This window comes from Homo sapiens, chromosome 2 (genome assembly GCF_000001405.40).
Source record: "Homo sapiens chromosome 2, GRCh38.p14 Primary Assembly".
NCBI classification, from domain to species: domain Eukaryota; kingdom Metazoa; phylum Chordata; class Mammalia; order Primates; family Hominidae; genus Homo; species Homo sapiens.
This window is the reverse complement of record NC_000002.12, coordinates 207,514,640-207,529,743: the sequence shown is the minus strand read 5'-3', so window position 1 is coordinate 207,529,743 and position 15,104 is coordinate 207,514,640. Positions and strand designations below refer to the sequence as shown.

General features: G+C 41.3%; 1 long non-coding RNA gene across 2 annotated transcripts, besides 4 other annotated features; it reads left to right on the top strand.

Moving 5' to 3' along the window:
- Positions 14-213: an enhancer, noted in NCBI's record as "active region_17040". NCBI's record gives its function as "activates an Ori minimal core promoter by ATAC-STARR-seq in GM12878 lymphoblastoid cells {active_cell/tissue: GM12878}" and the evidence as "EXISTENCE:reporter gene assay evidence [ECO:0000049][PMID:35858748]".
- LOC124907970 (uncharacterized) lies at positions 147-9,323 on the top strand. 2 transcript variants are annotated; one of them, XR_007088060.1, is made up of 3 exons: positions 147-308; positions 1,131-1,227; positions 3,812-9,323. It is a non-coding gene; the product is annotated as an uncharacterized LOC124907970 (long non-coding RNA). The 2 variants fall into 2 exon arrangements; XR_007088059.1 differs by lacking the exon at positions 3,812-9,323 and having other exon boundaries at positions 147-1,031; positions 1,131-3,165.
- Positions 234-413: a silencer, noted in NCBI's record as "silent region_12277". NCBI's record gives its function as "represses an Ori minimal core promoter by ATAC-STARR-seq in GM12878 lymphoblastoid cells {active_cell/tissue: GM12878}" and the evidence as "EXISTENCE:reporter gene assay evidence [ECO:0000049][PMID:35858748]".
- Positions 6,514-6,593: a silencer, noted in NCBI's record as "silent region_12276". NCBI's record gives its function as "represses an Ori minimal core promoter by ATAC-STARR-seq in GM12878 lymphoblastoid cells {active_cell/tissue: GM12878}" and the evidence as "EXISTENCE:reporter gene assay evidence [ECO:0000049][PMID:35858748]".
- Positions 8,171-8,220: an enhancer, noted in NCBI's record as "active region_17039". NCBI's record gives its function as "activates an Ori minimal core promoter by ATAC-STARR-seq in GM12878 lymphoblastoid cells {active_cell/tissue: GM12878}" and the evidence as "EXISTENCE:reporter gene assay evidence [ECO:0000049][PMID:35858748]".
- Positions 9,324-15,104: the final 5,781 nt, after the last annotated feature.

Genomic DNA, 15,104 nt, shown 5'->3' with positions numbered 1-15,104 from the left:
GTGGTCTAAACTCCACCGCGGCTTTCGCATCGGTAAAGCCGGCAGCGGAAATTTGAAGGAGGAAGCGGGGTTTGTGTGTGGCCCAGTGGGGGAATTCCCGAGGGGTGTCGGCGACTTGGTGGAAACCCCCGCTCAGGCCTGCCCCTGCGGCGGTGAGCGGCGGGCTAGAAGGCGGCTGCGGCTGCCCTGGCTCTGCTCTTGACCGCCGCCAGCCCCGGGAACTTTCCGACGCCGCCGGGAGACGGGGGACGGGCAGCCCGGGCTGGGACGCGGCCGGACCGCTGGAGCCGTGCGGGCTGGGGAAGAAGGTCTGCTGCGCCTCTGCCAACGTCCCGGGGCCTGGGACCCGGGGGCGTCGTGGGACCCCCGTGGGGACGGGTTTTCCTTTCCGAGACTCCGCGGAGAAACCTGGCGGCCGCCAGCGGAGCATGCTTTTCCGGGGGGCGCTGGCCCCGATACTGTGGCACCTTGCGGGGCTCTGCCCGGACCATGGCTGACGTCGACGGCCCTCGGAGGCCTCCAAGCCACACAACCTGCCCGGACCCCTGGAAATATGCCCCATCCTACCTCCCCGCCTTTCTCCAGACAACATCCTGTGTCGCTTTCTTTCCTCAGCCTGTTTTCTACAGCAGGGATTCGCACCCACTGCACCCTAAACCCAGCAGGGGGACTTCCGTGGCTGGAAACTACTGAATTGTTCTTTCAGAGGTCTCTCAGGACGGCACCACTAGGTCCCCATTCTCCTTGATAGTGAACTCTGCAGCCCTCTCCTTGGGGTTTCAAGTCTTTTTTTTTTTTTTTTTTTTTTTAATGAGACGGAGTCTAGCCCTTGTCGCCCAGGCTGGAGTGCAGTGGCACGATCTCGGCTCACTGCAACCTCCGCCTCCCGGTTTCGAGCGATTCTCCTGCCTCAGCCTCCCTAGTAGCTGGGATTACAGGCACCTGCCACCACACCTGGCTAATTTTTGTGTTGTTAGTAGAGACGGGGTTTCACCATGTTGGCCAGGCTGGTATGGAACTCCTGACCTCAGGTAATCCACCCGCCTCGGCCTCCTAAAGTGGTGGGGTTACACGTATGAGCCACCGCGCCCGGCCTCAAGTCTTAATCATTCTTTTTCTGTCCTTTAAAGGAGACGTGTCTTTAGGAAGCAGAGAGGGTTCGATTCTGGACTCCGCCCATGACTCACTTCTCTTGTAAAGAAAGAGTTGTCCTTCCTGGTACTCCAGGTACCCTACTGTTTTCTTATGGACTTTGCCCTTAACGAGTCTCCTTTCCTTCTGTTACTCTCAACCTTTCCTTCTCTACCGGCTCTTTCTTACTGGTATTTAAACATGCTTAAGTCTTTCAATTCTTTAAAAAGATTTCTCTTCTCCCTAAATTGCTCTCCAACAACTGCAGCTGTCTCTTACCCCATGGACAGTCTTTCATGTCCCACCTCCCAGCCCTCTCCAGTGTCCCCACCGCTCACCTGAAGTGGCTCTGAATTGTCCACAGACAAGCTTCATGACTGTAAATGCAGCGGATCATTTTCAGTCCTCATTTTACAAGCCCTCATCCCAGTATTTGACGCGATTGACCACAGTTGCTTCCAAATACCCTCTTCCCTCTGGTCTTATGTCCCAGGTTTCCTCCCTACCTGAGTTTGCTCTTTAACAACCAGCTCCTCCTTGATCTACCTCTTACACATTGGAATCATGCTGAGCTGAACCCTGGCCCTCTTACTGAGTCTCCCCATACACTTTCCTAGGTGGTCTTATGCTCTCCCAGCAGCATCAAATACCCTCTGTCAAAGACTCTTCAATCCATAACTCAAGCCTAGATCTTGCTCTGGAATCCTACATTCATAGTTCCCAGCATACTGCCTTTGGTACACTTTCATTTGGATGACTTAGGGCATTTCAAACTCAACCCGTATATCATAATTCCTTCAAAACGCTCCTCCCATAGTCCCTGGTTCAGTAAAGGGTATCTTAACATCTACCCAGTTCATGCCAGAAACCTAGCACACCTCCAACACACAGCAGAATCACCTACATCTGTCTGCTCCCTGGAAAATTGGATTTGTGACCTCTCTCTGTTCCCATGACCATTTTTTCATTCCCATTCTAGTCTAAACCACTGTTGCCTCTTGCTTGAAGTCCCACAGTAACCCATTCAGGTCCTCCAAAACTGCTCTTGCCTCGTTCCAATACATTTGCCATACTGCTGCCAGAGTAATTTTTTAAATATAAATCTGATCATTGACCTGCTTAAATTCCTCCAGTGGTCTCCCTTTGCTTACCACACATTGTCTAAGCTCCATTATCTGTACTTGTCTTTCTCTCCAGCCTCTCCATCTGTCCCCCTAGCTGCCTGCACTCCTGCCATAGTATTTTAATTTTTTCCAGGCTCTCCTCTTTTTATTCCCTACTGTAGGCTCTCACTTCAGGGCATTTACACATGCCCTTCCCTTCCCCTGGAATTTTTTTCTGTCACCCATTCCTCCTACTTAACTGTAACTTATCACTTTCTTTTCCAATTCCTACTTCTCATTATTTGTTTAGTGTCCATGTAATTGTGCAGGTAAGGACCACGTCTGTCTTGTTCACTACCAGCTTTTCCTCTCCCTAGCAACAGCACAATGTCTAGAATATAGTGGTACTTGTTAGGTATTTATCGAATAAATAGTGAATTTCTGAGTGGTCCCGGGCAAAGTTTTCTCAACATTTGAATTCAAATCCTGGCTCTCAGTGAGTTCAGGTTGCCGTAGTAAAGTACCATATAGACTGGTGGCTTATAAACAACAGAAATGTATTTCTCATAGCTCTGGAGGCTGGATATCTGAAATCAGGCTGCCAACATGGTCAGGTTCTGGTGAAGGCCCTCTTCAGGGTTGTAGATGGCTGTTTTTTCCCTTTACCTCACAATGCAGAAAGAGAGCAAGAGCTCTCGGGTTGCTTTTATAAGGCACTAATCCCATTCACAAGGGGTTTACCTCCCAAAGGCCTCATCTCCTAATACCATCACATTGAGGGTGAAGATTTCAAAAATACGAATTTGCAGGAGACAGGGGTGGGGGTGAATTCATTGCACTGGCTCAGCCACTTATTAGCTAATGACTTTGGGCAAATTGTTCACTCTTGTGCCTCAGTTTTCCCATCTGTAAAATAAAGATGATAATAGCACCTCATAGTGTTATTGTAATGATTACGTGACATAATACATGTGAAGTATACTTGGAACAATGTTAGGAAAAATGTTGCCTATTACTAGCTTTTACTTGGATAGCTTATCCTCGTGTCAAATACGTTTTCAAAATTGAGTTCATCTTCCTGCTCTTCTTACCGTGGCTCTATACATGATATCAAAAAACTTTGGAATTATTTACTCATAACCTATAATTATCACCCACCAAATATGGTGAGTTTTTATTTAAAAATGTCCTCATATTCATTCTTCCTTTTTATATACACTAACCTTCATTTAGACTCTATTATCATTGATTATTTTGCTAACTTCCTAGGTGTCTTCTAACTGGAGGCTAGCTTTCCCTATTCATTTGGGCCCTTACTGTCAGACCAGTGGGCCTCAAACAATTATTAAAACATATATTCTTCTTGACTTCTGCTCAAATGACCTCCGTTCCCACCTAACTTTGTTCATTCATTTATTCAATCATCCATTCATTCCAATGCAAGTTATTTTACTACTAACATTTTGGGTATACTCTAGATTTTCAGCCTCTCTACTTTGACATTTCTCTCTTGGATATTCTCTCTTCGGATATACTCTAGCATTTTCAATCTCACTATCTGACATTTCTCCTTTCAGCATCCAAGTTTTGTCTCTGGGATTTGGAAGCCACCTGCATTTTAAAAGAAATTTTTTCCAGGATCAGTCTCTCGCTGTGTTGCTCAGGCTGAAGTGCAGTGGCTGTACACAGGAGCGGTCATCGCATGTGACAGCCCCACACCCCTGGGCTCAAGTGACTCTCTTGCCCTCAGCCTCCTGAGTAGCTGGGACTACAGGTGATCCCCCATTTTTGACTCAGTTTTCCAATTGCAAAATGTGGTCAATATCAGGGAGATGAAAGAGGAGCACACATGGATGTAACTTGATAGAGTATAAGAAAAGTATCTTGAAAGAGGTCCAGAATAGGGGGAAGGTCCCATAAGATGATTATAAAAGGCTTCAAAGAGAAAGTAGTATTTGAGAGCTTTTCTATAATCACAACTTCCTCTTCCTGTTATTTTTTGCTCATTTCTGCTGTCGAATATAATTTTCACCCTCACTGTGAGCTCAAGTTCCATGAACCCTGCCTGCCCTAGTTCATCACCTCCTGTGATTTGCTTTCCTACCTAACCCCAAGACCATGGTGACCTATTTCATTTATTCTAAAAATATCTGTGGAGCACCTCCTTTGTGCCAGGCATTCTTCTAGAGACTGGGGAAATTATGAATAAAACAGATTGTCTTTCCTCTCAAATGTCCTAACATTTTCAACTTCTCTACTTGGGAGGTAAACCCCTTGTGAATGGGATTAGTGCCTTAAAGCAAGGAGGGGGATATATTATGGGTTTCTTTCTTATTTGGTAAGATTTCCTATAGTCTTAATATAATAGATAGCAATAAATAAATACTTCTGGGTGAGGAATTAATTGAAATCCTCAGTATCCCTCTATTTATAATGGCTAAAAAAATGTGAATGACCCAAATGTCCCCATTACTGAATAGATAACCACTTAATTTGTTTTTGTCTCTTTTATATACATGTACCACTCTTAACTCTTATAACTATACTTATTCATTTCATGTATACTTACATATATTCTTTATTGAACCATGAACTCTCTAAAGGCAAAGTTGTGTTTTGTTGAACTTGTATCCTAGTAACTGTCATGTAATAGTAGGTGCTCAGCAGTGTCTGTTGAATGAAAGAGTGAATGAATGGTAACAGTTTCTCCAGCACTGGCCAAGGGAGTGTGCTCTACCCTGCTGATTCAAGCATCAGATCTACTCAGAAATTCTTCCCCTGCTGAGAAGAAGGGGATGCTGAGACTCTTCACAGTTGAAATCAATGTGAAAGGAGCTGTTATCAATGCTCACTAAGTAATCCTGTGGTTTTATTTTATTATTTATTATTTATTTGTTTAGTATTTTTGAGACAAGATCTCACTCTGTTGCTCAGGCTGGAGTGCACTGGTGCGATCATGGCTCACTGCAGCCTCTATCTCCTGGCTGAAGCAATCCTCCCACCTCAGCCTCCTGAGTAGCTGGGATGACAGGCACACACCATCATGTCCAGCTAATATTTTTAAATTTATTTTTTGTAGAGACGGGTCTCCCTGTGTTGCTTAGGCTCGTCTCAAACTCCTGGGCTCAAGCAGTCCTCCCACCTCAGCCTCCCAAAGTGCTATGATTACAGGCATGAGCTTACCACACCCAGCTGTGATTTTAATTTGACTTTCCAGATAGAAAAGAAAGCACTAATCTCTTCACAACTATTTCTGGTCTGTTTACCAGTTACATTTCCCCCATGCAAATTAATGTATTGTATCTTAAAACTGATTTTAAAAACCAGAAAAACAAAACAAAAAAAATTTTGGCTTTTACTTCCCCTTCCAGCTACTGTCCCATTTGTTTTTGTTCTCCTTTACTATAAAATCCTTGAAAGAGTTCTATATTCACTGCCCCAATTCCTTTTCTCCTGTTTTCTATTAAAACTATTTTAACTACCTCTTGCCCCCAGCATTCCACTGAAATTACTCTCCAATTACTTTGTTATTTTGTTAGTTAATCCAATAGCCAGTTCTTTGTCTCTATCCTTGACCTATCAGCATTTGCCATAGTTGATTACTCCCTCCTCCCTTTAACACTTTCTCCACTTAGTTTATAGGATACTTCAGTCTCCTGGTTTTAGTCCTACACTACTAGTCACTGTTCTCAAACTCCTGCTCATGACCTCTTAATATTGGAGTGTCCCAGGCCTCTGCCTTGGAATTTTTTTCTTCTGTTCCTACCCCCTTTCCTATAGTGCTCTCATTCAGTCTTCTGTCTTTACATGTAAATATGCTCACAACTCCCAAGTCTTAAACCCAAACTTGTATTCCAAGTACCTCAGCATCTTTACTTGTATATTTAATAGACCTCTTCATTTGATCATATCCAAAACAAAACTCAGCATACCCCTTCCCCTCAAAAACTTTCTCTACCTACAACCTTCTTTATCTCAGTTATTGGCAACTCCATCATTTGATTGCTGAGGCCAACTCAGCAACTCTTTTATATCCCACATTCAGTTTGTCATCAAAGCCTATTGCTCTCTCTTCAAAATATATGACCACTCTCCCCAACTCCACTGATAGCAGCTTGGTCCAAACTACTGTCATCATTGACTAGAATTTTGTATTAGCTACCCTTAACATTCATTCTATTCTCAACACAGCAGCCAGAGTGATACCTTTAAAATATAGAGCAGACCATATTAAGACTGTTCAAAACTTTCTAAAAGCTTCCTATCTCACTCAGAGTAAAAGCACTTATTTTTACAATTAGTCCCTGTACACCCCCTTACCTCTCTGGTCTTAGTTCCTTCTGTTATTCCCCTCCATTCTCTGTTCAGTCACATTGGCGGCCTCCTTGCTGTTTCTCAAACACTTTGAACACACTTTCTCCCAAGAGACTTTGCCCTTGCTATTTCCTCTGCTCTGAATGCTTCTCCCAGATATCCATGTCTTCCTTGACTCCTCATGTCTTTGCTCAAATGCTCCTGTTTCTGTGAGGCCTTTCCTTACTACTCTGGTGGAAATTGATCACCGAACAACCACCTCTTTGCTCTTTTGCTCTCCCTATTTTCCTTTACTACTTATTTTTCTCCATTGCACATATCACTTTCTCTGTGCTATATATTAACTTATTTATTGTGTTTATTGTCTGCCCCCTCTAGGGCAGGGACTTTTGTCCCTTTTTTTTTCGCTGCTGTATCCTTAACATCTAGAAGAGTACCTGGTACACAGCTGGGACTCAAATATTTGTTGAATGAATGCAATTGAAATTTTGGATGTAATCTCCTGGATTAGCATAAGCAGGTCTTTCTTAGACTGATCACCTGTAGGTGCATCTATAAATATTGAGCTTCTGTATTACAGCCTGAATCATGGTGGCTCCACCAAGCTAACAGCTTCTTGTGGTGCCCAATTTCTATGTGGCTACACTCTGCCATTTCTGTCTGGGTTCCTTATAACCTTAAAGAGACGAAGACCTCTTTGAAGCTTTCTGGTCTTCCCATGTCACAGAGTCGGAACTGGAGAACTGATCAGCAAGATTCTGGTAGCTTGTAATTAGCATTTCAAGGGCCAAATGGTAGGATACTAGTGCTGCTGCATGCTCCATCTTCTCTGCAACTGAAAGCAATACCATGTAAACATGTCAGGTGGTCTCTTATTATCTTAGAAATTGCAAAAAGTCCAGTGGCTGGCACTAAAACCAGGAACAGTAACAAGCAAAGATTTATTGGCTGGGTATGGTGGCTCAAGCCTGTAATCTCAGCACTTTGGGAGGCTGAGGCGGCCAGATCATGAGGTCAAGAGTTCGAGACCAGCCTGGCCAACATGGTGAAACCCCGTCTCTACTGAAAATACAAAAATTAGCTGGGCGTGGTGGCACGTGCTTGCAGTCCGCAGCTACTTGGAAGGCTGAGGCAGGAGGATCACTTCACCCGGGAGGCGAAGGTTGCACTGAGCCGAGATCGTACCACTTGCACTCCAGCCTGGGCGACAGAGTGAGACTCTGTCTCAGGAAAAAAAAAAAAAAAAAGATGTATTGAGTGCTTGCTTTGTGCTGGCACTGTTCTAAACACCTTTTGATATATTACCTAATTTAATCCTCACAACAACCCAGTGAGGGAAATATTAATATTAGGAACATTTTACAGATGAGTAAACTGAAACCAGAGAAGAAACGTGTCTGTGGTCTTAGAGCCAGTGAGTGTCAGAGTCAGAATGTGAACCCAGGCACATTCTGACAGGCTTTAGAGCCTGAACTCTTAACCATTGTGTTCCACTGCCTGCTTACAGAATGAAAAGGGGAGAAGAACTTTACCTTGAAAAGAAAGCAAAATAACTATGACTCCATCACGGTAATTCTGCCATTCTAAAAGCACCTTCGTAACCAAGCACTTTCTTCTGGCATCAACCCTGTTGCTGTTTCATGCATAATACAAGATTTAGGCTGACTGGCCTCCAAGGTACTTTGTCACTCTTTCTAGTCAAAGGAGTGGGCTCCTTGAAACACTCTGCCAAACCTTTCCCCTGTATCTTTGCTTCACTAGCTCCTGCTCTTTAGCTGTGCTCTTAAGGGTGTGTCATTAACTGTTGAGAGCCACACATAACTCCCCAACACCAACACCCTAGTCTGGTTTAGGTCCCTGGACTCTACGTTTTTATTTCCATCAAAGCACCTATCATAATTGTCATTGTTTGGTGAATTGTCTGTTTCCCTGCTGGACTAATCTCTGTGAAGACAGAGATTGTGTCTGTCTTATTCATTGCTGTACCCTTAATACCTATCATGGTGTTTGGCATGTTGGAGGAGTTTGATAAAATTTTTTTGAATGTTCCATCCAGACTTGGTAAAAAAAAAATCTGAATGAATTTAAGTGATATTTCTATAGCCTATCTGCAATTATATCCAGGTATTAAGGTGAATTTTCTTGTGGCTAGGCTAGCCTACCTTTTTAGAAATGGAAGAGATGGTTTTCTTTCAATCTGCCTTCTAGCTGTTGGGTTTTCGTGTTATGGAATCACTGCCAGTGCCAAAATGCTAAGTTTTCAATTAGTGCCACTGTCTGCTTCAGATACAGCTGACATTCAACTGCTGTGTGATGGATGTTTTCCTAGGGTCTTTTACATATATGTGCTAATTTAAATTCAGATAACTTCTCTGGGTTTCAGGTTCCTCAGCTATAGAACCAAGTTACCTAACTGACTTCCACAAGATCAAACTTGTAAGTTTGAGAATTGGGGTCTGAATTTAGAACTTCCAATTCTAACTTTAGCTTTTTTGTTCATATATGATGTTGCCTTCCTGTTCCCAAGAATCCTATTGATTCTTCTCTGCTAGTCCACAGGTAGCACCAGATTACTAAGTAACCTGCACATTTCATAATCTTGTCATATGCATTTCCTTTAAAAAAAACTTTCCCCCCTCTCATTTTTTTTCTTTTTTCTACTTTTATTTTCTTCCCATTCCTATTCTGCCTGCTTTCCAAAACAGTGACAGAGTTTATGAAAACATTTCTGAGGCCTGTTCTAGCTTCTTTTCTTTTTTCTTTTTTTTTTTTTTTTTTGAGATGGAGTCTCGCTGTTGCCCAGGCTGGAGTGCCGTAGCGTGATCTCTGCTCACTGTAACCTCTACCCGCCAGATTCAAATAATTCTCCTGCCTCAGCCTCCAGAGTAGCTGGGACTACAGGCATGCACCACCACACCCAGCTAATTTTTGCATTTTTAATAGAGATGGGGTTTTGCCATGTTGGCCAGGCTGGTCTTGAACTCCTGACTTCAGGTGATCTGCCTGCCTCGGCCTTCCAAAGTGCTGGGATTACAGGCTTGAGCCACCATGCCTGGCCCTGTTCTAGTTTCATATGTGGATTGAGGACTTTAGTGAGATTTGATTATTTCTGTGCTGTTATTATATCTATATCAGAAGTAGATGTGAGAAGAGTCTCAAAGATTGGAACGCAGGGCACATACTATTTGGGTTCCTGATTAAACAAGATGATTGAACAATGCTTTTTACTCTTTTCTTTCCTGATACCCCACAGTAAAGAATAAGAAAAGTATAAAACCGGCCAGCGCAGTGGCTAACACTTGTAATCCCAGCACTTTGGGAGGCCAAGGTGGGTGGATCACCTGAGGTCAGGAGTTCGAGACCAGTCTGGGCAACATGCTGAAACCCCATCTCTACTAAAAATACAAAAATTAGCCAGATGTGGTGGTACATGCCTGTAATCGCAGCTACTTGTGAGGCTGAGGCAGGAGAATCACTTGAACCTAGGAGGCGGAGGTTACAGTGAGCTGAGATTGTGCCACTGCACTCCAGCCTGGTTGTTGACAGAGCAAGGCTCTGTCTCAAAAAAAAAAAAAAAAAAAGAAAAATCAAAGTATAAAACCTTATGTAGAACAATGCTCTCTCCCCCAAGATGTCCATGTCCTGATTCTTGGAACCTATGAATATGTTTTCTCTCATGGCAAAAGGGACTTTGCAAATTTGATTAAGTGAAGGAGTTTGAGATGAGGAGATTAATTTGGAGGTTTTGGGTGGGCCTAATGTGATTACAAATATCCTTATGGGGAAAGAGGGAGGAAGGAGAGTTAGGATTTGCTCCACTGCTGGCTTTGAAGAAGGAAGATGAGGCCATGAGCCAAGGAATGCAAACAACCTCTGGGAGCTAGAAAAGTCAAAGAAACAGATTCTCCCCTAGAGTTTTCAGGAGGAATGCAGCCCTGCTGACACCTTGATTTTAGCCCACTGAGACTGATTTTGTACTTCAGCCCTCCATAACTGTAAGATAATAAATTTGTGTTGTTTTAAGCCATTAAGTTTGTGGTAATTTGTTACAGCAGCAATAAGAAATTAATATAACCTTCTGAGGACAAAAAGGGCAGGAAAGGAGGTAACAGAAATTGAGAGAACTCAACATATGTTTGGAAGATGAAAAGTGGGTGGAAGAAAGGTAACTGACTTGGCAGAGTAGAGGGAGCTGATACCTAAGTGCCTGCAGAAGGAATTGGAGGCTGTACTTTTTCATTCCATTTGCAGAAGCTAGGAAAAAAGTACAAAGGGGGGCCTACAGAACATTTTAGCTAAACGTTTAAAAGATATATAGGCTGCTAAAAAATTGCTCACTAAAATATATCCAAGTTCTGTTATGCACACAGAGCTTTCCTTCATCATCTTAGTGCGTTCTTAAATATGACTGGAAAATCAGGGATTAGCATACGCTTAAAGAAAGTGTTCAGCATGAAAGAGATAAGTCAGCAAACCATCTAACCAACTGACCAAACAAACAGAAAATCTGATGTGTTTGAATGTATTGAGACGAGATTTGAACAAGTGGTAGATAGTTCTGAATTAGTGATATCTTCTTAGAAAACTAATGAAAAGAACAATACACTTATTAACTCCAGGGAAAACAAAGAGTTGGGTAGGAGAAGAAAAGTAATCATAGTTTATATTTGGCTCAAATCTGACTAAAATACAAGGTTCTAATAATAGAAATACTGATTATTAATCTAACTAAAATAATGATACACGGTGAAAGGTGAATGTATGTGGTGGGCATGCAGAGAGGGAGGAGACCTCTTATTTCCATAATGAAGTCAATAAATAATGTCTAAAGCAGAAATATCACATTGCCACAATTAAAACATTTTATTTAGAGATATGGTAGTCAATTCCAAAGAATCAGCTAAAAGCATTTACAGTGGCTGTCTTTGGGGAAGGGTAAATATTCAGTGAGAGGGCTTTTGACTCTTCAAACTGTGAACATATATAACTTTGAAAAGGCTAAATTATTTTTTTTAAAAAAAGGACTAAAAGATGATCTTAAAGAGAAAAATGATAGGAGATATTCTCCTAGATTAGAAACACATGAACATTAAGATTGAAAGAGGTATTTAAATCTCTTGAAAAGGACCTGTGACCATGACATTTTGGAATAACAGTTATTTTTTTAAAAACACATACAACCTTGTAGGTGGGGATTAAGGGTTACATACAAAGGATTAGGAGTGAGATTGGCCTTGGACTTCTCAACAGCATCATTGAAGCTAGAAAATAACGTATCAATGCTTTCTAATTCTGAGAGAAAATTATACCAAATCCATTATTCTGTTGTTTTCAGACTACTAAGTCTTTGCCTGTTATGAATACTTTCTCAGGAAGCTACTAGAATACCAAATGAGGGAGTAATCCAAAAAAGGAGCCAGGAACAAGGATATATTTGTCAGCTTAGGCTATGATGCAGTAACAAATAACACCAAACTCTCCATGGTTTACATCATAGGTTTATGGGATGCAGGATAATGGAGCATGCTCTATCTGGGACATTGCTAGTCTTATGACAGAGGGAGAAGACAGCGATGGTAAGTCTGCCTTTTAAGCTTTCACCTGGAATTGATGTATCACTGGCTAATCCAAATCACCTGGTCACTTCTGAGTTTAACAGGGCAAGGATCTGAAATCCTTCTATTACAGCATGTCTATAAGGCTGACATCACAAATCATGGCCAAGACTCATATCAATGGGATGAAGAAGTAGAATCCACCCCAATGCAGGAATAGCAAATATTTTGAACAATAATACAACCTATTTCAAAAGGAACCTTCTTATAGAAGGGAGCAGAAAGAATGCTCAGGACAGTATGTGTGCAACGGTCTCAGAAGCAACAACTTGGGATTGAGAAGGATAGGTAAGAGAGCCCCAAGAGGAAGGTCAGGTTGGAAGGTGGGTGGGTGACATCTGTTGCTTTTCTGACAGGTTTAGTTATTAGATAGCTGCCTCTCTGGGTGGGCACTAGAAGATAGGGAGAGATGGGGTAAGAGACTGCTGTTTTCTCATCAGCTTTTTTTTGTATGAAGTGTTTTTAAAAACTATGCAATGTAATAATATACGTTTAAGCTATTTTTTAAGTGGATAGAAATTTACTTTCTCTGATATGTCAGTGTGTGTGTGCATCTGTGCTGTGTATATGTTCTGTGTTTGTGTATATATGTGTGACTAATTGTCAAACTATAGTTAGGGATAGTTTGTTACTGTCTGCAGCAAGATAAGTGCAGGCATTGAGAGTAAGCATTTATAAACTTGAATAGTAATTTGACAGAATATTTTATGTCTATTAAAATCAATGTAAATTTTTTGGGCTTATATTTTGTATTCTTGGCTTTAAACATTTTGCTTTTCTAGTAATTCATTTTAACTGTATTTTACAAAGGCATTGGTCTGCAATGGATTGGAAATTTAAAAAAATTGGTCCATCTTTACACAGTTTAGAAACACTGGTTTAAGGTACAAAGGTAAGATTATAGGATAAAAATATTTGAGAATTGTTATGCTAGAACAATCAGCAAATCACTAATGCTACATTTTCTGACCATCCTTCCTCCTCCATGATTATGAGAGTTTATGTAGAAGAAACAGAAGCGTATTGAAGTCAGCACTCCCTGTCTTTCCATAATTAAGTGATTCACAACAGCCTTCTCTTCCTCCATCTTGCCCTCTCAATAAAGCACCTGGAAATAACCCAAAGAAAATAGTGATATTTTCCAACAGGCCATGGGAAAACAGCATTAGCAACCCTGAGAAGGTGGAGACACTTAACTTTGTGAGAACAACAAGATCACTTTTTTATACTTCTGTCCAAATACTGCATTTTTGACTGTACTACTTTCATACCAGTGAGTGTTAATAGTCAAATATCTAAAGCATTCATAGTAATAATGCAAAGTGATAGGGATTCTCATGCCTTTTTAACTGATTCATTGGGTTCTTGCTTCTTTCCCTTCAGACTTTATGCCCATGCTACCTGATGCTAAAAGAAAGCAAAGAAAATGTCCACAGCAAATGTCTTTTGGGGCTTAAAAACTGATGCTTTACTGGGATAAAGTAAAATTTATCATAGGATGTATTTTTAGGAGCACAAGCAAACAGTTCTTGTTAAGAATAGTGACATTTCTTTCAATATATAAGTAAAAAAGATATCAGTAATTCTACCCATCCTAAAGCTGAAGTTCACGTGCATCTTGATAAAGCGCTTCTGTTCTCTGTGTTAGTTGTGGTTCAGTCATGAGTGTTGTCTTGGTAATACTGGAAAACAGAACACAGAAGACTCATGCCCTAACAGGAATCATTACTACCTAAACTCAGTTACAGGATACAGTGGTTCATGCCCAAGGAGCGTCCCATCTCTGCATAGTAAAAGGTTGTCATAACATGGTTAGGAGTTACAGTGTTTCTAAAACTAACCTTATCAGAGTATCTGACTTGTGTGTTCAGATGCTTAATCAGTGGTTGTCTTCCCAACCCCCCCACCAATCAAACACACACACACAACACATTTACATTAATAACATCCAAAGAAGGGCTGGGTCTATTTTCAAAAGCTCCTCCCAGCAAGACTTTTATTCTCTCTCCACCCTCCCCACTTCTGCGACGATTTAGAAACAGGTTTCTTGTCTGGGTGTGTACATATGATGGGGAAGGGGAGAATGAATCTTTTTTTGTTGTTGTTGTTTTCGTTTGTTTATTTGCAACTTTAAGTTTGTTTCCTTTGACAATAAGGCTGTGAAGAATTATGTCTCTTTTCAGGATTTCCCCCCAAATTTATTAAAGTATAGTTGACAAATAAAAATTGTGTATGTGTCAGGGCATGGTGGCTCATGCCTGTAATCCCAGCACTTTGGGAGCTCGAAGCAGGAGGATCACTTGAGCCCAGGAGCTCGAGACCAGCCTGGGCAACATAATGAGACCCTGTCGCTACAAAAAATAAAATTACTTTAACTAGGCATGGTGGCATGTGCCTATAGTCCCAACTACTCAGGAGGCTGAAGTGGAAGGATCACTTGAGCCCAGGAGTTGGAGGCTGCCGTGAGCTATGATCATGCCACTGTACTCCAGCCTGAGTGACAGATCCAGGCTTTGTCTCTAAAAAGACAAAAAAAATTACTAAAAAAAATTGTATGTATTTATAGTACATACAATGTGATGTTTTAATATATGTAAACATTATGGAATGATTAAATCAAGCTAATTAACATATCTATCACCTCATATACTTATTCTTTTTTGTGGTGAGAACATTTAAGATCTACTCTCTTAGCAATTTTCAAGTACATAATACATTATTCTTAACTTTAGTCACCATGCTGTATCATAGGTCTCCAGAACTGAGAATAAATCTTTTAGTCTGTGTACATCCCTGGGCAGCAAATGAGAATACGAACCCTTAAAAAATTCAATGTCATGATTGCTAGTGTTATTTTTCTGTGTAAACTTTTCTTAGCAAGGAATCTCTTCCTATTAACTAAATTCTTAACTATTTGACATACTTTTTAAAAAAGTCCTGT